We start from the raw sequence: 23784 nt of genomic DNA, 5'->3' as shown, positions 1-23784 counted from the left end.
GCTGATTTAGAGTGCTTTGAGTAAATATTAGCTGAAAAATTATTAATAAGTACTTCTCAGGCTCAAGTGTAATAGGCCCCATAGAAGACTCAAAATTGTTTACTCAACAAATTTAAATGTGTCATAAATGAAGTAATTGCTTTCCCTGGATGCTCTGCCAGGTTGGTGGCTTCATCCGTACACTGAAGATTGAGAATATGAAGGAAAGAGGCTATAGAGCTGCGTGTGTGCTTTGTTATCTCTCAGTGCATCCACAGACAGGGAGGTATTAGCGTCAATAATTTATAGAAGGAAGTAAGGTCAGGAATATACTTTTTGAGCTCTGTTCACAGCCAGAGGATGAAAAGTAACTTGTGCACAATTGGTCATCCTAGGCAACAGCATTTCTCCATTTGTGAGATATTATTGTGACAACTCCCATTACCCCTCTGCCATTTTAATTTCCTGACATGCAAGATCATTTAAACTCCATTTCCATATGAATTTGCCCAAATGTTAACCCTTGATTACAGCTGATTTTCTTCCACTAGTGGGTTGACCATTTGCCTGTTTGCTTTCAGGTCTGCTTTTTTTTTTTTTTTTTTTCAGACTGGTGAATCTTAAGTTTTACTGTGCCCACAAGTTCTGATTCAGTAAGTCTGAGAGGGGGTCTGAGATTGCATGCATAACAGTGCTCCCAGGTGTCACCGATGCTACTGGTCTGTGCACCATGCTTAACCACGCTGAGCAGCCAGAATCCGAACCAGTTCTCAAAGCGTGGCCCCACAACCAGAAACATTGGTATTACCTGGTGGGATCATCTGCATTTCAGATGATCATTCCAGTTCATTCCAGACCCACTGCCTCAGATGATCTGTGTTTGGTGTGTGTGTGTGTGTGTGTGTGTGTGTGTGAGAGAGAGAGTTGTGTTTGAGAGAGAGTCTTGCTATGTTTCCCAGGCTGATCTTGAACTCCTGGGCTCAAGCGATTCTCCCTTCTCAGCCTCCAAAGTAGCTGGGATTACAGGCACTTGTCAGCATGCCCAGCTTATAGATCTGCTCTTTTCTTTCCCATTGCTCTGCTCTGATCCTTGCAATGTGTACTAATTTTTTTCCTTATTGATAAAACTGATTTCAGCTATTTTTCTTTTTATCAGAGTAGGAATGTGTAGTTATTCTTAACATTGGTGCCTCCCTTAAATGAGCATAGCAGAATGTCTATTCTCATAAAATGCATTATAATCTTATTTTGAGGATATTTAACCTTCATTTCTATAGACCTTTACAATGAGCTTCTATCCTTCATGTGCAAAAGTGTGACTTCTTGAGGGGTTGCCAACACGTATCAGCAAGACCTCACTTATCCAAGAAGAATCCTCAAGGATGAAGAGTTGAACCCTGAGCAGCCAAGAGAGATGTCCAAGGGCTACTCTAAGAGCCCAGGGACTCACCCATGAAGGCCCCCTTAGGCCTGAACTCAGATTCTGCTCTTCCTTTCTGTGAATGTAGATACCTGATTTCACAGCAGATAAAGAAAGAACAAATGGGAATACCAGCATCCACTGACACACAGTAATAATACTGATGGTTGATGGTGAGGAAAGTAACCGGAAGCAAAACCGAAATTGAAATATAATTATCCTAGGGTAAAATAAATTAGGGCTCTTGGTATAAGATAAAACAAAGCTGCTCATAAAAATTAACTGTAATTCAGTATCAAAATACGGACAAAGAGAAGGTCAGTAGCATATATGTTTATGTCTCTGTATGCCAGGAATCATCTTAGGCGTTAAATATACATTATTGCAAGATGGAAATACTGATAAAACTGTTAGTTAGATAGTATGCTCACGATTTTACGGTTAAGGAAAAACAGGCCCTTAACCCAAATTCCTTCACTGCTGTCACATGTCTGTGACAAGAGTAAGTGCAGAGGTGTGAAAACTTAGCCAGCCTCACTCAAAATCCCTTGGCCTAGCCATGGTCCAAGCTGTGAAGTTGTTGTTTATAGTCATGAACCTCAATTTTTTTTTAAGAAACAGTTTTTTCTAAATATGCCCATTATAAGAAAGTGATTAAGCATCTAATATATTGTAGAAAAAAATCCACTTACCATGAAGAAAAAAAAAATGCTTTGGCAAATGACTATTAAAAGCTTTATAAATCCAGGAAAGAAAAAAAAAAAAGAAAAAAGCTGATGTGAAACAGCTCAGATGCAGGCAGATCTACTGAACCTGACTGCACTTCATGAGGTTACACAATATCTATTTGTTCTTGGTGACCATTTATAAACCAAGTGGATAAACCCTGGCTTTTCTCTCCCTCTCTCTCCAGAAATATCCACATTGTCTAGGACGGCCAGACTCAGAGCAGCTTCAGACATATAAATACCAATCGCTTCCTCTGCTGGTGAATGGAATTTAATCAGACTAGCAAGCTAAACCAAAGTCACACAAAGGGTAACATTTGACGCGCTTAACAAGAAACCTTTATGCAACTGTTCCCATCAGTCAGACCTAGAATAATACGGTGCTATTTTTACTTCATCTTGGCTTTCCGCAGAAAACTTTAAAAGGCTTATGATGAGTGCCGACTGTCAATAGATGGTCTCCCACCCCGTGTCAGGACTCATTGCTGTGTCCACTAGACCTAAGAAAACATCGATACTGCTGTTCAAAACAACTCTATATTTATTTCCTTTTCTGATGAAGTAACAGCTGAGAGCACTACAGCTTACTGACCTGCTTTTCTTCTTCTCTTTATCCTCTGCTATCAAGTGAGAGCCTCCAGCCTCATCAGAAAGTGCGATGTTTATTTATTAATTCAATATTTGTTGCTCATTTATTCCACATCCATTGTAGTGTTTGGCTGTGGGGATAATAGGAACGAGATACAGACACACCTTTAAGAAGCTTGCAAAAGAGAGGGAGAGAGTAAATTTACACAAAATTCTAACAATTATCTGACTCCTCCTGATTCCTCAGTGACCAATCATTGAGCCTCTTAATGTCCTTAGAGTATCACTTTAATCTACTTATTTATTCTTATACCTTCTGGTCTGGGATGTGATCAATCCACACCTGGCCTGTGGCCATCATTCTTAACATTTTTTTTTTTTTGGTTTCTTGGTTTTATTAAAATTTTAATTGAATTATAAAATACACAATGAAAGGGCAAAAATTACAATTGTGCAACTCAACGAATCTTCATAATGTAAATTCCCATGTATACCACTTCTCCCTGGATCAAGAAATGGAACATCACCAGTATCCCGAAGCCACCTCCCCAAGGTATTCCCATTCTCCTCCTCAAAGACAACCAGTTTCTGAATTCAAACACTAAAGGCCTACATTGAAAATTTATATAAATGAAATCACGCAGTATGTATTCTTGTACATTTGGCTCGTTTGTTTAATGTCTTGTTTGTCCTAGTCCTCAATGTTGTGTGTAGCAGTAATTTGTTTATTCTTATTGCTACAAAGTATTCCATTATATGAATATGACATAATTCATTATTTAATCCACTTTGGATGAACATTTGGTTTGGTTTTAGGTTGGAGATACTACAAACAGTGTTGCTATCAATTTCAAATGTTTCAAATATCAAATGTTGCACATCTGTTTTGGTGCAAATATTCATGCATTTATGTTGGGTAATGTACCTAGGAATGGGATTAATGAGTCACCTGGTTGCCTGCATGTTCAGCTTTAATAGTACAGACAGTCAGTGTCGAGTCTTTATATGCATATTAGCAGCTCAGGAGAGATTTTAACAGGCATCCATGCTCCACAGATGATCTTTTTTACTCATTTTACAAAATGCAAATAAGATCATGCGATGCCCCTGTTTAATACCTTTTAATAGCTGCTCATCGACCTTTGGAAAATACTCAAAATCACAGATTCCTGCAGGATCTGGTCTCACATACTTTTCCAGATGAATTATGCACATCTCTGCCCCTGATGTTCTTCACTCCAACTATACTGAACTCCTCTCAGTTTCACATGTGTACTTCATTTTCACCCACTGAAACTTAACTCCTCTGAAATGTTTGCCCAGACCCACCTATTGTATATTGCTGCTGGAGCGCAGTGGTGCAATCTCAGCTCACTGCAACCTCTGCATCCCGGGTTCAAGTGATCCTCGTCTCAGCCTCCCTAGTAGCTGGAATTACCGGTGTGTACCACCACTCCTGGCTAATTTTTGTATTTTTAGTAGAGATGGGGTTTCACCATGTTGGCCAGGCTAGTCTCAAACCCCTGACCTCAGGTGATCTGCCTGCCTCAGCCTCCCAAACTGCTGGGATTACGGGCATAAGCCACCACGCCCGGTCATAAATTTCATTCATTACACAGGTCAGTGCTAGAAACAGCATCATTTTCTCATGTGTTTGTCTTCCCGACTAGAATTTAAGTTCCAAAAGAACGTGTGCACTCTGCCTTCCTCACTAGAATTTCAGTACCAAATGAGTTAAAATTTCCTAACTTGTTCTCTTCTGAGTTTCCACTGTCTCCAAAAGTACTCAGCATCAATTGGGCATTCAATCAATGTCTGTTGAATAGATAAAAAAATGCATGAAGGAGAGTTAGCATATTTTTTTCTCTCCTCAAATTGATTGTCTCCTCTTTCAATAACTGGATAACTTGTACTTATCCTTGAGGTCTCAGCTTAAACATCATTTCCAGAGGGACACCTTTTTTTTTTTTTTTTTTTTTTGACTGGCCAAGCTAAGTTTTACACTCTTGTGTATAATATACAACTTTTCTTAAGCTTTAGCTTCCTGGCATTTACTCTTAAAAGATCAGTTGATGATCTTTGTGTATTAACAAGTTGATGATTTGTATTTTTTTTGTTTATGGTTCATATTGTCCCTTAACTTATATGTTCTAGGAGTATCTGGATGTCTGTTTTGTTCACCGCTGTTTCCCTTATGCCTAGCACAGTACTGCAGGTACATTGCAGACTTCTTAATGCACAAAGGCAAAAACTAAAATATCGAAGAGCAGATCAAAAAAGTATTGTCCAAGAGCTTTCACAAGGCAAAGAATCTTGTGCATAACTAAAGAAGACATATTCAGGGTCAAGTAGGTGAGAATTGGGACATATTCACAAAGGCTATAGTAAATATTCTAAGTTTTAAATATCATAAGAGAATTTGATAGCCACCCAGATACATGAAGACAGAAAACAGCCCTTGTAAAGCAGCAATAGAGAAATGTCTATTTAGATCTTTTGCCCATTTTTAATCAGATTATTTTTTCCTACTGCATTGTTTGAGCTTCTTATATATTCTGGTTGTTAATCCTTTGTCAGATGGATAGTTTGTAAATATTTTCTCCCATTTTGTGGGTTGTTTCTTCACTTCATTGATTGTTTCCTCTGTTATGCTGAAGCTTTTTAGCTTGATGTGGTTGCATTTGTCCATTTTTACTTTGGTTGCCTGTGCTTTTGAAGGCTTACTCAAGAAATCTTTGCCCAGACCGATAGCCTGAAGTGTTTCTCCAATGTTTTATTCTAGAAGTTTTATAGTTTCACATCTTGGATTTATGTTACGTCTTTAATGCATTTCAATTTGATTTCTTATGTGGTGAGAGATAGGAATCTAGTTTCATTTTTCTGCATTTGGATATCCAGTTTTCTTAGCACAATTTTTTGAAGAGACTGTCCTTTCCTCCTTTCCTCAGTGTATGTTCTTGGCAACTTTGTTGAAAATGAATTCACTGCAAATACCTGAATTTACTTCAGGATTTTCTATTTTCTTCCATTGGTCTGTATGTATAGTTTTTATGCCAGTAACGTGTTGTTTTGTTTAATATAGCTTTGTATTAGAATTTGAAATCAGGTAATGTGATATCTTCAGCTTTGTCCTTTTTGCTCAGAATTGCTTGAGCTGTTCTGGGTCTTTTGTGATTCCATGTGCATTTTATAATATTTTTTCTATTTCTGTAAAAATTATATTTGTTATTTTGATAGGTATTGCATTGATTCTGTAGATTTATTTGGGTAATATTGACATTTTAACAATACTAATTCTTCCTATCCATAAACATGGGATATCTTTCAATTTATTGTCCCCACTTCAATTTCTTGTCCCCACTTCAATTTCTTTTATTAATGTTTACAGTTTTAAATGTAGAGATTTTTCACGTCTTTGGTTAAGTTTAATTCTAAGAATTTTATTTTATTTGTAGCCATTGTAGATGGAATTGCCTTCGTCATTTCTTTTTCAGACTGTTTGCTATTGACATACAGAAATGCTACTAATTTTTGTATTAGAATTTTATATCCACAATTTTACTGAATTTGTTTATCAGTTCTAATAGTTTCTAGGTAGACTCTTTAGGTTTTTCTAAATATAAAATCATATTATCTGCCACCAAGGATAATTTCACTTTCCTTTCCAGTTTGGATGCCCTTTATTTCTTTTATTGCTTCGTGTGTGTGAGTGTGTGTGTGTGTGTGTGTGTGTGTGTGTGTGTGTGTGTGTGTGTATAATTGCTCTGGCTAGAACTTCCAGTGCTTCTATTTTTCTTACCATAAAAAACATTTTCTTTAAAGACCTCCTTTTGTCATTATCCCATCCAGCAGCACTAACAGTATTAAATAATTTTCAAAAATCGATATTGAAATGTATGTACCCTCAAAACACCAATTCATAAAAAATAAGATATGTTTCAAAATGGATAATTGGGATGGTGGAAAATGACTTAGGAATTTTTTTTTAAAAGATGAAAGGGTATTGGGAAACGATACATATACATACACACACAGAGAGGCACACACACAGGTTTCTTTTCACACCTCAAGCCACTTTTATGGGAGGATAAATAATATTAACTGATATTTACTGAGTGTTTACATAACATGTATTCTTCTAAGGCTATCTCTATTTACCTATCTGGCTACCGTGTAGGGACATAAATTTTGCCTAAGCAGACTTATTAATCCAGTTAATTAATTGAGATAAATTTGACTCAATTAACTGCCATTTGGCCTGGAATATTTTTTTTCTTTTCTTGCTGATCATAAACGTCATCATTACTAAACTGCCACTAAATTTAATTGAACATTTATTATATGTTAAAGTATTCTGCTGGCACCCAGGGAGAGAAATCAAGTCCAGGGGGTGCCATAACATGACTCTAGCAGATAATCAGGGCAACGGCGATGATGATGATGATATGGGGCTTCAAGACAGACCTACAAAAGTAGAGGAGAGGACATCTCTACCAGACAGAGCAAGTGATTATGGCTGAAAAAGAGACAAGCTCTTCTTCAAGAAATCACTTAAACATCGGCATTACATCTCAAGCAAGTGGAGACAATCAGACTGTCTTTCTGGGAAATTTGGAATTATGACTGGGAGCCTGTAAATAAGTTTGGTTTTACTTGCATAATAGAAACAATTTAACCTAGAAAATACGTGTTTTGGACATGAAGCAACCAAGACAAACAGTTTGTACAAAGGAGAACATACCACAGATTTAGAGATAAGCATAGAAGAGGAGAATAAAGATTTAGGATTTCCTGGGCTCTTTGTGGCTTTTCTAATTCCAGTTCTGAAGAGGTCCTAGATATCTTCCAAAGACATCCCAACAGCTAACCAATAAGTGATATTCCATATAATTTCCCATATATCATGACATCTTTATTAGGAAATTGTGTTTTAATGTATCTGTGAAAGTCCTTTATGATTCTCATAGATAATGGTAGAAAAACTGTCAGAAATGTTTGTTAAATGAATAGACAAGAGAGAGAATGAGAAAGGAGAGAGAGAGAAGGAAAGAAGGGGATAAAGAATTGAGAAGAGTGCTACTAACCAGGCTAAGATTATGGAATAAGAAAGATTTTATAGACTCAAAATTATCCTGGTAGTCAACAGTCCATTCCAATAAGCCAGCGTCTAATAATCAAAACTGACTCCCCAGATTCCACATAGGAGGCAGCAACTTAATCTTAATCCCTGTATATTCATAAAAGGGGTGAGAGTAAGTTTAAAGTATTGAATATCTTCCTCCCCCTGCCAGCATTGTCCCAAGGAGCAAGTGGTTCTGAGCCAGCAGGGAGAGCTGGAGTACAGCCCACAGCAAACAGCTGTGGAAGCTAGAGAAAGGCAAACCAAGGTAGATCTGTATTTCCAGCTGGGTTAAAGAGTTCTTTATTCCAACATTAGAACCAGAACTTTACCAATTTAATAGACTTTTTTTTTCTCTGTCTCTCTTCCTCTTCCACTTTTCCTCCAACAAAGATCAAGAGTCAAAGAAACATCAAACAAGCTTACTGCAGACAACCCAAATAAATAAGCTCTTCTTTTGAGAACAGCATCTTTTGTTGTCTGTCAGAAAATAGCTCTCAAGACAGGGTGTACAAATTGGCCTTTGGAAGCTCTGTGCTCTCTCTGGAGCTCACCTTCATTTTTGAATGTTTAGTCTAGCATTTGTGACAAGCTGTGTCTTGCAAGAGGAATCTAGATTTACTTCTGCCCTGAAAATGGGAAACAGGAACTGTTGATATCATAACCTCTTTGCAAGACAGGCCTAAAAATGCGTAATCCATTTTTATGCTTAGCACAAGCTGCAAATGACCATTTTAAAGAATCTACATAAAAAGTTTAAGAATCCAATGGTATTCTATAGAATTAATGTCCAATGTGTGAAAATGATCTTACAATCCACCTCATAATATACTATCTCTATACAATTTAGCAAAGCTCCTCTCTACTCTTCCCTTCTTGTCTTACACACACACACACACACACACACACACACACACACACACACACAACAGTTCAGGTCCACTGATAACCAAACTGACAGAAAATTGTTTGTCTGTAGTTTGCATAAAATTGGTGTTCTGTATCAGTGTCCCTCATTTCATCTAAAGAAGCTGAAAGGATGTAAACCTATTAAATGTGCACATAACCAAAAATTCTAATGAGATATATTAGATTTTGAGTTACTCTAAAGATGACTGAAAACACTGACTCAGAAGCCAGACCACCTGTGTTCAATTTGAGCAATGCTTTGGCTCTGCCACTAATAGGGTCTGAAATGTTGGACAGGACACTACTTCACTGTACTCCAGTTTTCGGATCTGTTTCACTTGTTAATATATACAACTACTTAGAATAGTTCCTGACACTGTTTTGTCTTTAAGTATTTTGAGTAATTTGATATTATAAATATTAGTTATTATTATTGGCTAAGATAGAAGAAAGAAACTACATCCACACCTTTCAATCTTTTCATGATTGTCTTTTGGTAACTCAAAACACAACTTTCAGAAATTTTTTTTAAAAATTTTAAAGTTCTGTTCCTTGTAGTAACTCTTTTTGGAGACACATACCGTACAATGAAACCACTGTATGGTTTAAAGTGAGAAAGGTTTAAAAGAAAAAAGAAATCTGCCTTTTCAAGTCACATGGGTGCCTAGTGTGGTGGGCATTTTGGAAGGGAATGAGACAGAGCCCTATTTAAATGCTTTGCCATGGTCCAAGCTAAGATGACAAGCCTGAATCACTGTTTCTCAAAGTGAGGGATCCATACCACTGGTGAGGCATAGAATGAGTTACAGGGTGCAAAATAGGTTAAAATTATCACCATTCACGTGATGAGGTCCTTTTTTCAGTGCTATTTCAGTCCTGATTACATGGAAGAGAAGGTCACAGTTTGATCATGGCTGTTAACACCTCTCTAAAATTTGCTAATCCCCTTCTCAGCAGTTAGAGGTGACCTCTACATAATGGCTTCCAGGCAGAATTAGACAACTCCTTTTGTTTTTCATTGTAATTACTTTAACTTTATCTTCTTTTTCCATCCTGAGGTAGTTTTTCATTCCTGGATTATTTCTTTCAAAATAAATCCAATTATGTTTGTGATTTTAGATAAATATGTTAGCTGAATAATTTAGATGTAATATGGGAACAGAATATAAAAGATAGGGTAGTCAATATCCTAAACCAGCTGTGCACTGGAGAGCAGAAATTAGGAACAGATTAGAAAAATGTTTAGATGGTAGAATAAGCAGATATGGGTAACTTGCTTTGAAAGGAAATAGCTACAAATGGTCAAGTGGGCAAGTGATTATAAGCCTCAAGTAAACCTTTAGGTGATGCAAAGTATCTGAAGAGTTATCTACCTGATTAACTCTGGCATTTCCTGAAGGTGGGAAGTCCATTAGAGAAATAACTAATGAAGCTGAACTCCATTCCTTAATCCATTTCCTGCCAAATGTGGTCTCTGAACAATTCTATGTTTTCTTGGTAGTTTTTTGGGTAGTTCCTCAAATCAATGCTCTTCTAAAGGGTTTAAATAGTCATTGTTAATGGTCCTCATTCAAAATGACGCCATTTGTCAGATTATTATTTTTTTTTTAATTATACTTTAAGTTCTGGGATACATGCACAAAATGTGCAGGTTTATTACATATGTAATAGGTTTATTACATACACATATACATGTGCCATGGTGGTTTGCTGCACCCATCAACCGGTCATCTACATTAGGTATTTCTCCTAATGCTATCCCTCCCCAACCCCTCATCCCTTGACAGTCCCCATTGTGTGATGTTCCCTTCCCAGTGTCCATGTGTTCTCATTGTTCAACTTTCACTTATGAGTGAGAACATGCGGTGCTTGGTTTTCTGTTCCTGTGTTAGTTTGCTGAGGATGATGGTTTCCAGCTTCATCCATGTCCCTGCAAAGGACATGAACTCATCTTTTTTATGGCTGCATAGTATTCCGTGGTGTATATGTGCCACATTTTCTTTATTCAGTCTATCATTGATGGGCATTTGGGTTGGTTTCAAGTCTTTGCTATTGTGAACAGTGCTGCAATAAACATATATGTGCATGTGTCTTTGTAGTAGAATGATTTACAATCTTTTAGGTATATACTCAGTAATGGGATTGCTGGGTCAAATGGTATTTCTAGTTCTAGATCCTTGAAGAATCGCCACACTGTTTTCCACAATGGTTGAACTAATTTACACTCCCACCAACAATTTAAAAGCATTCCTATTTCTCCCCATCCTCTCCAGCATCTGTTGTTTCCTGACTTTTTAATGATCACCATTCTAACTGGGGTGAGATGTTATCTTATTGTGGTTTTGATTTGCATTTCTCTGATGACCAGTAATGATGAGCTTTTTTTCATGTTTGTTGGCCACATAAATGTCTTCTTTTGAGAAGTGTCTGTTTATATCCTTTGCCCACTTTTTGATGGGGTTGTTTGTTTTTTTCTTGTAAATTTGTTTAAAGTTCATTGTGGATTCTTGATATTAGCCCTTTGTCAGATGGACAGATTGCAACATTTTTCTCCCATTCTGTAGGTTGCCTGTTCACTCATGACAGTTTGTTTTGCTGTGCAGGAGCTCTTTAGTTTAATTATATCTCATTTGTCAATTTTGGCTTTTGTTGCCATTGCTTTTGGTGTTTTAGTCATGAAGTCTTTGCCCATGCCTATGTCCTAAATTGTATTGCCTAGGTTTTCTTCTAGGGTTTTTAAGGTTTTAGGTCTTATGTTCAAGTCTTTAATCCATCTTGAGTTAATTTTTATATAAGGTGTAAAGAAGTGATCCAGTTTCACCTTCCTGCATATGGCTAGCCAGTTTTCCCAACACCATTTATTAAATAGGGAATCCTTTCCTCATTGCTTGTTCGTGTCAGGTTTGTCAAAGATCAGATGGTTGTAGATGTGTGGCATTATTTCTGAGGCCTCTGTTCTGTTCCATTGGTCTATATATCTGTTTTGGATTGTGTATTTAGAAAACCCCATCATCTCAGCCCAAAATCTCCTTAAGCTGATAAGCAACTTCAGCAAAGTCTCAGGATACAAGATCAATGTGCAAAAACCACAGGCATTCCTATACACCACAATTCATAATTGCTACAAAGAGAATAAAATACCTAGGAATACAACTTACAAGGGACATGAAGGACCTCTTTCAGGAGAACTACTAACCACTGCTCAAGGAAATAAGAGAGGACACAAACAAATGGAAAAACATTCCATGCTCATGGATAGGAGGAAAGGTGAAAAAGGCCATACTGCCCAAAGTATTTATAGAGTCAATGCTATCCTCATCAAGCTACAATTGACTTTCTTGAGAATTAAAAAAAAAAACTACTTTAAATTTCATGTGGAACCAAAAAAGAGACCACATAAGCAAGACAATCCTAAGCAAAAAGAACAAAGCTGGAGGCATCACGCTACCTGACTTCAAACTATATTACAAGCCTACAGTAAACAAAACAGCATGGTATTGTCAGATTATTTAACTAGGGTATTGTTAAATAATAGAAGGTTTCTAATGAGGTTAAAAAAATATCCAAGGAACCTGATACTTAATCACCCAAAAGTGCAACTTGTGGTTCAACAGAACATTATCAGTATACCTTGCGAAGAATTTCTGGTATTTCTCCTGTCTCTTCGTTGCTGGAGTAACATGGCTTATTTTCGGCAATTATCAGACTTGATTAGCAATGTCATTTATGAACAGTGGTGACTTAGGACTAAGAGGGATGTATAAAACAAAACATGATCCTTTTGGGTTTTAATTTTCACAGAAAAATAGTATTTGTTATTTGTTCCATATCCATGACAGAGTAGTTGGGAATATCTAACAAAATCACTTGGAAAAAATATTCCCCAGTAATTTTGGTGAAAATAAACCAAAGAGGATTTTCTGTCACTTGGTGTTTACTCTATAAGGTTTCAGGTTCATAAGAAATCATGCTAATGTGTAGTGAAGTCCACAATCGCCAACTGAAATGCTTTCTTCTTGGAAAGCCTTTTTTTGACCCTCAAGATGGTGAATCAAACCTTCCTTTTCACTCGTAGCCATCTGCATTTGTCTGTAGAGTGAAGCCCAGTCGGGACACTATTGACATATGGGGCTGGATTACTATTTGTTGTGGAGGGCTGTCCTATAGACTGTAGGGCATTTAGCAGCATTGCTGTCTTTTACCTACTCAGTGCTGGTAACACTCCTCCGGTCTGATAATCAAACATGGCTCCAGACACTACTAAATGTACCCAGGTAGGGCCATATAGTACATGGTTGAGATCCACTACTATTAAGTTATGTGACACTTCCCTTACTGCAGTGAAGTTTGCTTTTATGTCTGTGTACTTTAGTAGATTCAAAATAATGTATATGGCACTGAGCTCTATGCATAGTGGTTGCTCTTTTGTTTTTCTGGATGACATATACTATACGGATAAGCACTGTGTCCTATTCATCTCCTCCCTACATTTCAAGAACTCAGAGAAGGGTTGGCGTATAGAAGTCCTAAAAAAATTTTTCAGGGATTAAATAATGAATGGTTCTTTTAAAGGCAGCACCTAAGTAATGTTCAAGTCTGCATTTCCTGTATCAAATGCAAGGTAGGAAATATAGGAGATTCTCAATGAATGGGTGGAGGCTGAATCAGTGAATGAATGGATAGAAGGAAGAATTGAGAAAGGCAGCTTCACATTCACATGGCCAGACATCTTCACGTAGGTGCATCCCTAATCTTCCGCTGGAGTTACTATGACTACAAACATCTCAGCTGCCAACTTGCTGCCTGAAACCTTAAACAAGATTCCAGGTGAGGAAGTGTCCTTGGCAGGGACCCAACAGACCAGCAGCAGTTCACAGGAGGAAATTTGCACAAAACTAAGCAAAAATCAGATTCATCCTAGCTGAACTAATCAGTGACTAGAAAAAAAAAAAATCATTGCAAGTCGCTGTGGTTGGGCAGGGCAGGGATAGAAATGACTAAAACCAGTCAATGCCAGAAAGTTTCACATAGAAAGTTACAAGAACCAGAACAGGTATTCACAGAGCCATTGCTTCTAGAAAGCCCTACAACAGGCCTCTCTGTTGAATCAGGGGCGGAACATTTTAGCTCTAAAGTGTATCTTGAGAGAGATGCATATATTTGACTCCACAGAGGTTTTCCTTTTTATTCCTCTCTTGAAGGGAAATCTGACACTACTGAATGGAGTGGGATTCGGCTTGGAGCTTTATAAACCTCAGGAGATTTGATGGTCTGCATTGAAGAGAAGGGGTCAGAATCTCCAGAAGAGGATCTTCTACCACTATCTACTCAGCCTCAAGTTGATTTGGGATTGAGAGCATTTCTTTCACATCTCTGTTCAAGAAAGTTTTAATGCTGAGACTTCCTTCTCCACTGCTAAGCTAAATCATACTCAAAACTTAAGATATCTCTTAAACCAAATACTCTAAGACACATCCCCTGTACTCATAGCACCTCTAATATCTAATGATTTTATTTGTCTTTATATTTGTTGCTTTTATTAGATTTAAATTCCTAAAGACAGAAATAGAGTCATCATTATCATTATCATCACCATCATCATCAAATAGGAGGAGGAGAAAAAATAAACTCCATGATTTGATAAACCCAGTCAATGTGCTTAGCATTTTAAAAAATCACATTTAATTATCAGCACAAATATTGAATTAGATCCAGCTAGGTATTCTTTTTTCTTTGCTACCTCCTATGGGGTCTGGCATGGTGGTGATCATTGTATAGTCTTACATTGAATTTATATAAAGGGAAATGGAAGGAGAGGGTTCAAGAACAGACTAAGGACCATCGATTGGGGCCCAGTGTTTTCTAATCAACACTGGACCTGAATTTGAACTTCAGCTTTTTTAACCTATTTGGGAATTTACTTAATTATCTGAGTCTTTATTTTCTATATTAAAGATTACTGATCATGAAATTTATCAAACAGAATGGCTGAGAGAATGAGGTACGTAGTAAGCATTTAGTTTTATCTATAATTAATACTTTTTTTTTTTTTGGCGTGATCTTGGATCACTGCAACCTTCGTGATCCGAGAACCTCCGTGATCTCTTGCCTCAGTCTCCCAAGTAGCTGGGACTACAGGTGCACACCACCACACCTGGCTAATTTTTGTGATATGAACTTTTCAATGGTAAATACCATAAAGAAAAAGAAATAAAGCTAGAGGTTACCCAGATCAAAACCAGATAATAACCTCCTTGACCATAATCTCAGACTCTATTGGTTATGAAGCTAAATTTATTGTCCCTACTCCAAAAACAACAACAACAACGACAAAACATCTTAAATTATAGTTTTTAAGTCTGGTTATTACAAAACACTCTTAAGTTCTTCTGCCCATCTTCCCAAATCCATAGCTTGCACTTCACATTCAACTTATATGGAAGGATAGAATGACACTAAGTATTATTAGCTAACACTCAGGGAGTTTATTAGATAGTCTCACCTTGAAAGTCTTGCCATATCAGGCCAACTCAGAGGCAGTAACTCATACTTCTTTACATGACCAAGGTGAAGAATCACATGATGACTTTAAGTAAATTGTCATGAGGACTATTTATTTTAAAATGCCATATCTTCTTTACTAAACCTCTGAGAATAAAATTTTAAGCAGACTTGTTTTGATGATTTAGATAATTGCAATTCTATTTCCTTAATACTTTAACAGCTAATGAGATACTTTTGATGGGTTTTAATAGCTCCAAGTCCTAGATACATATTAATCTTGCCAACTAAGTACTAGATGATATTGTTACCATCAATAAAACACCATCATACATTTTATTTTGTTTTCCAGCAGTATTGCTTCATGCAGTTCTATGAGAATTTGTTATTTTTTCCATGAATTATTTTCCAAAACAATTTGAGAACATTTTCACAATACTTTATAGTAATAAAAGAATAAGCCCCATTAGCATAATATGTTTGTATAACTAAAAGATGCTCTACTTCTAGACACTGGTTCATTTGCTTTAAGTAAGTAGATTTTTGACGTTGCCAAGGAAAATGTTTGGGTTTACTATGGTTTGGACATGATTTGTTTTCCTCCACTAAAACCCATATTGAAATGTGATCCCCATGCAGTGGTATTGAGAGGTGAGACCTATTAGGAGGTAACTGGTTAGGGGTACAGATCCCTATGAATGACTTGGTGCTGATATAGCAGTAATGAGTCAGTTCTCACTTTTGTGAAGGGGGATTATTCTTGGGGAAATGGATTAGTTTCCACCAGAATGAGTCTTTCATAAAGCCAAGACACTACTCATGTTTTCTCATGTTCACATGAGTCCACTTCCTTTTTGTCTTTCTCCACCATTCTCCACTTGTTGTAATACAGCAAGAAAGCCCTTGCTGGAAGCCAGGGCTATGTCTTTGAACTTCTCAGCCTAAAGAACCATGAGCTACATGAAGCTCTTTTTTGTTTGTTTAAATTACCCAGTCTCAGGTATTTTTATAAGCAACACAAAGTGGACTAAGACAGTGTTTTACAAAAATACCCCAGTTCACATATACTACTCTTATTATATTCTTTTCCACCTTGAAATTATGTAGAAATTAATTAAAAATTAGTGAACACTTTCATTTCCTTATATAATAAACAGATAAATAAAGCCACCCATAAGTTTATTAATATAAATTCTACCAGGATAAAGCTGTAATTTTTTAACAATTGTAATTTTCTTTAGCATAGTGGTGCCTCATAAAGCCAATGTAAGAATGGAATGAAATAGTGCATTTAAATTGCTTAAAACTGGTGCATATTAAGTGCTAAATAAAGTTAGCAATTGCTATTATGATTGATATCAATTCATTAATTCAAAAATATTTGTTGAATGTTTGCAATATGCAAACACTGTGACTGAAGCTAAAAACATGGTAGCCAATAAGCCAAGCAAGATACTTTATCTGTAGAGTTTCAGTTATCTTAAGAATAATATTAATAAATTAATAAGCACTAATAAATAATATAATGACAAATGTAATACATAAATAAAAGGTGATATGTTAGGGGAAGATGGACAAGGTGGTGACTTATATTGAATTGTTAAGAAAAAGCTTGGCTAAAAGGTAATATTTGGGTACATGTGGGAATATTCAGAGTCCCTCCTGGAGAAGACCTGGAGGCAGATCATTCCAGAAAAAGAATACAGCAAGAAAAAATTTCCGAGATAAGAATTCACTTTTATTTTTCCAGAATTAATAGGAATGTCATTGTGCTTTGAAGAATAAACAAGGAAAAGAATGATAAAAGAGTTGGAAAAATGAGCAGGGGTCATGCCAAGTAAGAATGTGTACGATATGGTAGGTGTCATTGGTATGTTATAAAATGTATTATGAAAATATTTTGATGATATTTCAAAAGGGAAATAATGCTACCTAATGATAATATGAAAAAACGACTCTGGCTGCTGTAGGGAGAAAATATAGGCTTGGAGTTGGGAGAAGAGTGAAAAGAAGGCCAGTTGGAGACAATTATACTACATTTAGCTTTAGGAAGGTGCTGAAGGAGTCATGGATTGAGATTGTTTTCCAAGTTTTCAGTTGAACAATTTCAATATGGTGGCATTACTTAATGACATAGGGAGGCCAGAGAACAAACAGATTTGGAAGGATGTGGTAGAGAATAAAAGGTTTGCTTTTGGCTCTGTCAATGCTCAGGTGGGATTATATGAAATCTAAGTAGAGATTTCAAGCAGGAATTTGAATTAATATATCTGGAGATTAGCCAAGATGTTGCAGATGGAGATGTAAATGTTGAGACATCATCATTGAGCTGGAAGGCAAGGGGCTGACAGAGCTCAGATATTAATGACAATGAATTTGATCCATTGTGATAATTTAAAAAAATCATGGCTATCTTGAAGGCCAACATTTATATCGTCTCTTGCAGTCCCTGTGCACAAAACAGTTTTGTTTGGTAGATCCCAGGTTATTACTAGATGGGTTTCACTAGCCGGTGATTCATTCCTGGCCACCATCTAACCAGATATTTTAACCAAATTCCCATTTATCCAAAGGCTTCCAAATGATTTTGGATAACTGAGGTTGCTTATGGATACTTGAAATGGCTAAATATCTTACATTCTAATGAATTTACTGCTCTTTCAAAAATTTTTCGACACTCATTCAAAGTCTATTTTAACAAAATAACCTAAATCCTCAAAATATTGTTTTTATTAAAATAGGCCTTCATATACCATTTGCACTTAAATTGCTACCTGTGTCACATTATCAACATGAATACTTACCATTCATTCAACACACATACACACACCTGCCTCCCTTCCCCCAACCAAACACACATACCAGTAAAGATGGCTTTGCCTTAAGTCCAGGAAAATCCTCCCTCTTACACGGCAGTCTTTTCCACAGACTCTAGAAGTTCTGATTCACTTGGTTTTAGGGGGGTATTAATTAATATAATGACCTTGAACCAATCGCCAGAGATTGTTATTCAGTATTCAACATATTCCTAGTAGTAGTGGTGTTCCAGAATCACACTTTGAGAAATACTATATTATTCTCACAGGAAGACCATCACACTGAATTTTTTCTTATGATATATTTCCAAAAATTAGATTATTAAGACATATTTACCTATTGGAAGGTTCTTGGAACTTACCAAATATAGGAGCCTATGAAACACTGTCCAGATCTCACTTTAAGACAGAAGAGGACTTATTCCTCAGCTGCTGGGAATGCTGCCAACAGACAGCCCTCAGTTGTCAAGCATCTTGGAGAATTGCCTCAGATAAAGACAGTTGTCTTGCCAAGATCACATCCTCTCCCGTGGAGGCAGCCTACCTCAAATAACTTTTTCATGGAAAGGCATAAAAAGCACCTCATCCCAACTTAGGACAATCTTGAAGACAGCACTCACCAGGAAAAAAAAAAAAGTCTTGCCCAAAATTCTCCATCTCAGTATTTATTTCTGGGAACCTAAATTAAGCAGAAACTATCTGAAAAACAGCCATTATTCATATTTGTTGAAAACAGTTCATTGACTCAAATATCTAAAGAACAGAAAGAGTGTGAGCTCCAACTATGTCCTACAAAAAGTAGCATGTTTAAGATGCAGGAATTAAATTCTACATGCCACAACAAGATGAGTCCTAGAAGTGAGAGAGAACTCTCAGAGCTCAAGAATTTGTTATGCCGCAGAACTGAATGAGAGCATAACCTATTCAGGAGATATTGAGGGGGTCTGGAACTTCCTGATGTAATGCTGGAGATGTAAGTTTAGTTTGTACTGGTTTTCTTCCTCCCACTTCATACATAGGTGGACTGGACAGATTTAAGCGTATAGGATCAGGCAGACAAAGGTGGCAGCTATAAAATTTACCAGGGTTCATAATCTACAACAATGTTAGAATAGAGGTAGGTAGTGCTTACTTAAATCAGTATCAAGGACATAACTGCAATACTTGTACATCTCTACCCCTCTATTCTGATGCTTGACATTCCATTATTTGAAATTTACTTTAAGACACAAAGAAGATATATAAGTTTGAAGTCATTAGAAATCAATTGTAAGACAAAGTGAACACATCACATTTTTAGGCACAGTAGGGGATACTGCAATATAAATGATTTCCTGGTCATGGTGAAGATTGTTCCAAATCTTAGAGTGTATCCAAATGTTTATGCTTCAAAAAGCTTCCATCCACATGTGGCTTCCCTCCTCCACACCTTCTTCAGCCATCATGGAGAATGGATGCAATTTCCTTCATTCAACTTCATGGTTTGCTGATTAATAAAAAAATGTAACAAAGAGAGCTAAATAACTGTAATAGATGGCAGGAAGGAACAGACATTGCAAAGGAGCAGCAGAGAACTCAGTGAGGACTGATTCTTTTACCTGGGGTAAATCAATGCAAACATTATGAAGTAGCTTTTGACCCAGTCTTTGATGGATATACAATAATTGTACATGCAAAACTATACTAAGATTTTTATCTGCTTTCTAAGGAATATGCAATAAGCTATAATTTTAAGCTTTATTGGTATGCCCAATATTTCAGGTATATTATTTGATGCTATGAATGCTTCTAAGAACCAATTTCGTAACATTTCTGTCCCCATGATGCTTATATCATGGTGCAATGTAATACCAAACAAATTTAGTAAGGAATAATCAATAATTTAAAAACAATATGGATATAAATTATGTCCTCTATTTCCACAGATTGATGTCATTAAAATGGATTATTTTAGTGTTATTCATCATTCCAATGTTTGGCATATATATAATTAGATTTCTTGGGAATAATAAAACAGATTTGTGTTCAGTGCTCTCTGTTCCACTCTGTGGAAGAGAAGGTGGAAAGCAGAATTGGGCAGAGGTAGAAGATGGGCTGAAATGCAGTCTCAATGAAGGATTTAGCCATCAACACAAGAAGGTCTGGACTTTGGATGCCACTTCTGAGTTGTCACATCCATGCAGAAGCTTAGGGGCTAGGCTTTGGAAGCCTATATTGGTGCATCTTTGGATTTGTACTGCTACCTAGCATTGGACAAAGAAACTGATTTTGGCTTTGGGAAATTCTGGAAAGCAACCTAGCCTTGAGCTTTCTCAGCAGGCAACACTTCCAGCAGCTAGAGGAATGAATGCCCTAGTTTTAAAGGGGACAATAGGGTAACACACCACAGCCTCCACTACAGTTTCCAATGCTATTGCTTTTCCTGTTGCCAAAAGTCTAGTTTCTGATTGTGTTCAAGATGTTTCCTTAAAGTATAACTCTAGAAGAAGAGTTCTCTTCTTCATCACTTCCTGATCAGGGAAATTTATAACAGTTATGGAATGAATTGTGTTGCCCCAAAATTCACATGTCAAAACTCTAATTCCCAATGTGACTGTATATTTGGAGGTTGAGGTCAGAGGACAGATTAGTTAAGGCCCTAATCTAATATGTCTGGTATCCTTATAGGAAGAGGAAAAGGTATCAGGGAAGCACAAAGAAAAGGCTGTGTGGGGAAACTGCAAGAAGGTGGCCATCTGCAAGCCAAGGGAGTGAGGCCTCAGGAAAAACCAAACCTGCCAACACTTTGATCTTGGACTTCCAGCCTCCAGAAATGTGAGATAATAAATTTCTGTTGTTTAAGCCATTCAGTGTGTGGCATTTGCTTATGGCAGCCCTAGCAAACTAAGGTAGTAAGATGTTGAAGTAAATGTTTTGATGTATCAGAAAGGTGAGAATTCAATCATCAATACAAGGTTTGTAGTTCCATGTTTGGATTTCTGACATCATATCTGAAAAAACTAGGGATACAAAACCTTCTTCAGGTACTTTCTGATCCATCTAATAATATATATATATATATTTAATATATATTTATATACTTAATATATGTAATAAATATATATATTTGATTTATTATATCAATAATACAGGTACATTCTGGTTCATTTAATATAATAATTCACTTAATATAGGTACATTCTGGTTCATTTAATATCAATAATACAGGTACTTTCTGGTTCATTATATACATAAATTTGAGGTAGGGTCTTGCTATGCTGCTCAGGCTGGAGTTCAGTGGCTGTTCACAGGCATGATCATAGCACACTGCAGCTTCAAACTCCTGGGTTCAAGCCTCTTCCCAAATAGCTGGAACCATAAATGCACACCATGGTGCCTGACTGAAAGTCTTTATGTAATGAAGATTTAAAAGGTTTGATTCTAAAATAAAACATGATGTGGTTTATATAGTTATTATATCTGAATTAATGTTTCTACTTCTACACAACCAAAATACATGCTTTTTCATTAACATGTATTATCAAAGTATATGAGTGTTTGTAATTTATAGACATATATACATATATAAATATGTATATTTAACACATTTATACATGAACACATAGATATGGCAATGTAATTTAACTCAGAGTAAAATTAATGCTAATTTTTATTCAATATGCATTTTTCAAAACCTATTATGTCTACTGATAATACAAATTTGAATGAAGTATAAAGCACAAGGCCCAGATATCTATGATCTAGGTGAAGAAAGAGAAGCCTTACATTTCCAACAGTGAAAATGCTGGAGTCCTCCTATGTGATCTCTCTGCAACTAGTCTTGGTTGCTCTGACACCACCTTCTGCCTAGAAGCCAGACAGTTCTTCCAAAATGCTAATCAGTGTACCTTAGTTTCTTGCTTAAACCTAGTCCTATTGCCTTCAGCAGAAGGGCCAACAGCAGTGTACAAAGACTGTTCTGAGCTATCTCATGCTTATGTCTCAAGCTCCATCTTGTACATCTTGATAGCTCACCTCTCTATCCCTGCTGAAATACTTGTGATTCTTTTTTGTTTTTGTTATTGTTGTTGCTGTTGTTGTTGAGACGGAGTCTTGCTCTGTCTCCCAGGCTGGAGTGCAATGGCACGATCTCGGCTCACTGCAACCTCCACCTCCCTGGTTCAAGCCATTCTCCTGCCTCAGCCTCCCAGGTAGCTGGAACTACAGGCACCTGCCACCACACCTGGCTAATTTTTGTATTTTTAGTAGAGACAGGGTTTCACCACGTTGGCCAGGCTGGTCTCAAACTCCTGACCTCAAGTGATCCGCCTGCCTCGGCCTCCTAAAGTGCTGGAATTACAGGTGTGAGCCACGGCGCCCAGCCTACTCGTGATTCTTACACAAAAATATGTTGTTTCATTTATTTGTGCCTAGGTAGAGCCACCCCCTGTTACTTTCCATTGGGTAAATTCTTACTCTAATCTGTCCTCTATAGGAATGACCATGTAACCGTTATACAAATGATTCTGTTCTTAGGGCCCCTGTTATTACACTCTGTTGTCTCACTTATCCCTTCGCCCCTCACTGTCCTGCAAGACTCCTGTTTGCTTATCTCTTTCCTCCTGAGTCTGCAGGCACCGGAGAAACCATGAGGAGACCTTAATCTTCCCATCCTCAAAAGTTTCCGGGCACTTTGCACGCAGTAGGTTCACAATGCAGGCTCTTTGATGTAAACCAAAGAAGGAATAGTAAAGCACATACGTATTTTACTGGAGAAAAAAACCCAAAAAAACAATGGTTTGAGGGATAGTCCATTCCTACTATTTTCAAAACATAACTACTAAATTCAAAATGAATAAGTTTTTTGTGCTTTAAAAAAGATATTCTCTTTCTTCAGATGTTCACATTGAACACTATACTGAGATTCAGGAAAGATTTAAGCAGTTTCATAGTCACTAGGGGTCACTCTTATAATTTTGAATCTTGCAAACCTGTGTAGGTTATTTTCCTTAGAAAGATTTAATTTCAACTCTCCCCTGGCCCTGACTCATACATAGAAAGATTCCAGTAATGATACCTGATGGGCATGTCTGCCACATAAATTACCTAAAAGCTATGTTTACTTTTTTGGTTATTAACTATCATCAGAATGGTGTTGCTGCATGTGTTTAAGAGAAGCAGCAAGATAACGTGAAAACCTGATAGTCAAAGGATTTATTAATGAAAATCTTAATAGTATTTCATCAATTACGTTCTCACTAGAAAATTTCACCTTAGTGTTTTTATGTCAATTGTTACAGACTTTTTAAAAGGTTATGGAGAGCTTTGCTCTTGTAATGTGTGGATGGGCTTCCCATGGATGCATCGCTAAATTACCTGCGGAAATGCAGAAACACTTGGCTTTTCAAATCACCAAGTGTCATCTCAGCAGGATTCTTAATCACAAATATGCTGAAAGAAAACCAACAGACATTTGCAAATGACAGGGGAGCAGCAAAAAGAGAAACAAATCTCTTTTTAACTGTTCTGTGATCATCTTTATTCTCGTACCCACTCCCAATCCTTCCAAGTAATTAGTACATGGTAATCAATCATGGCTCTTCAGGCAGGCACCAGTTCAGGTGTATGGTGTTTGATTCACACCTCCCAGGAGCAAGAATTAAGGAGTTAGGACAAGACAAGACAGACAGGAAGCTGGATAGAATAGATAGAAGGCTCAGGACAGGGCAACTTACCCCTTTACCT

At 36.9% G+C, this 23784-nt stretch overlaps 1 long non-coding RNA gene across 3 annotated transcripts in view; it reads right to left on the bottom strand.

Moving 5' to 3' along the window:
• Window positions 1-23784, bottom strand: part of LOC105371310 (uncharacterized) — a 134908-nt gene that overhangs the window by 678 nt on the left and 110446 nt on the right. For all 3 annotated transcript variants that reach the window (XR_001752234.1, XR_001752233.1, XR_001752236.1), the window contains one exon: window positions 2720-2846. This is a non-coding gene — a long non-coding RNA (uncharacterized LOC105371310). The remainder of the gene's footprint in view (window positions 1-2719; window positions 2847-23784) is intronic.

This window comes from Homo sapiens, chromosome 16 (genome assembly GCF_000001405.40).
Source record: "Homo sapiens chromosome 16, GRCh38.p14 Primary Assembly".
NCBI lineage: Eukaryota > Metazoa > Chordata > Mammalia > Primates > Hominidae > Homo > Homo sapiens.
The sequence above is the reverse complement of the archived record's forward strand: the minus strand, read 5'-3'. Positions and strand labels throughout refer to the sequence as shown.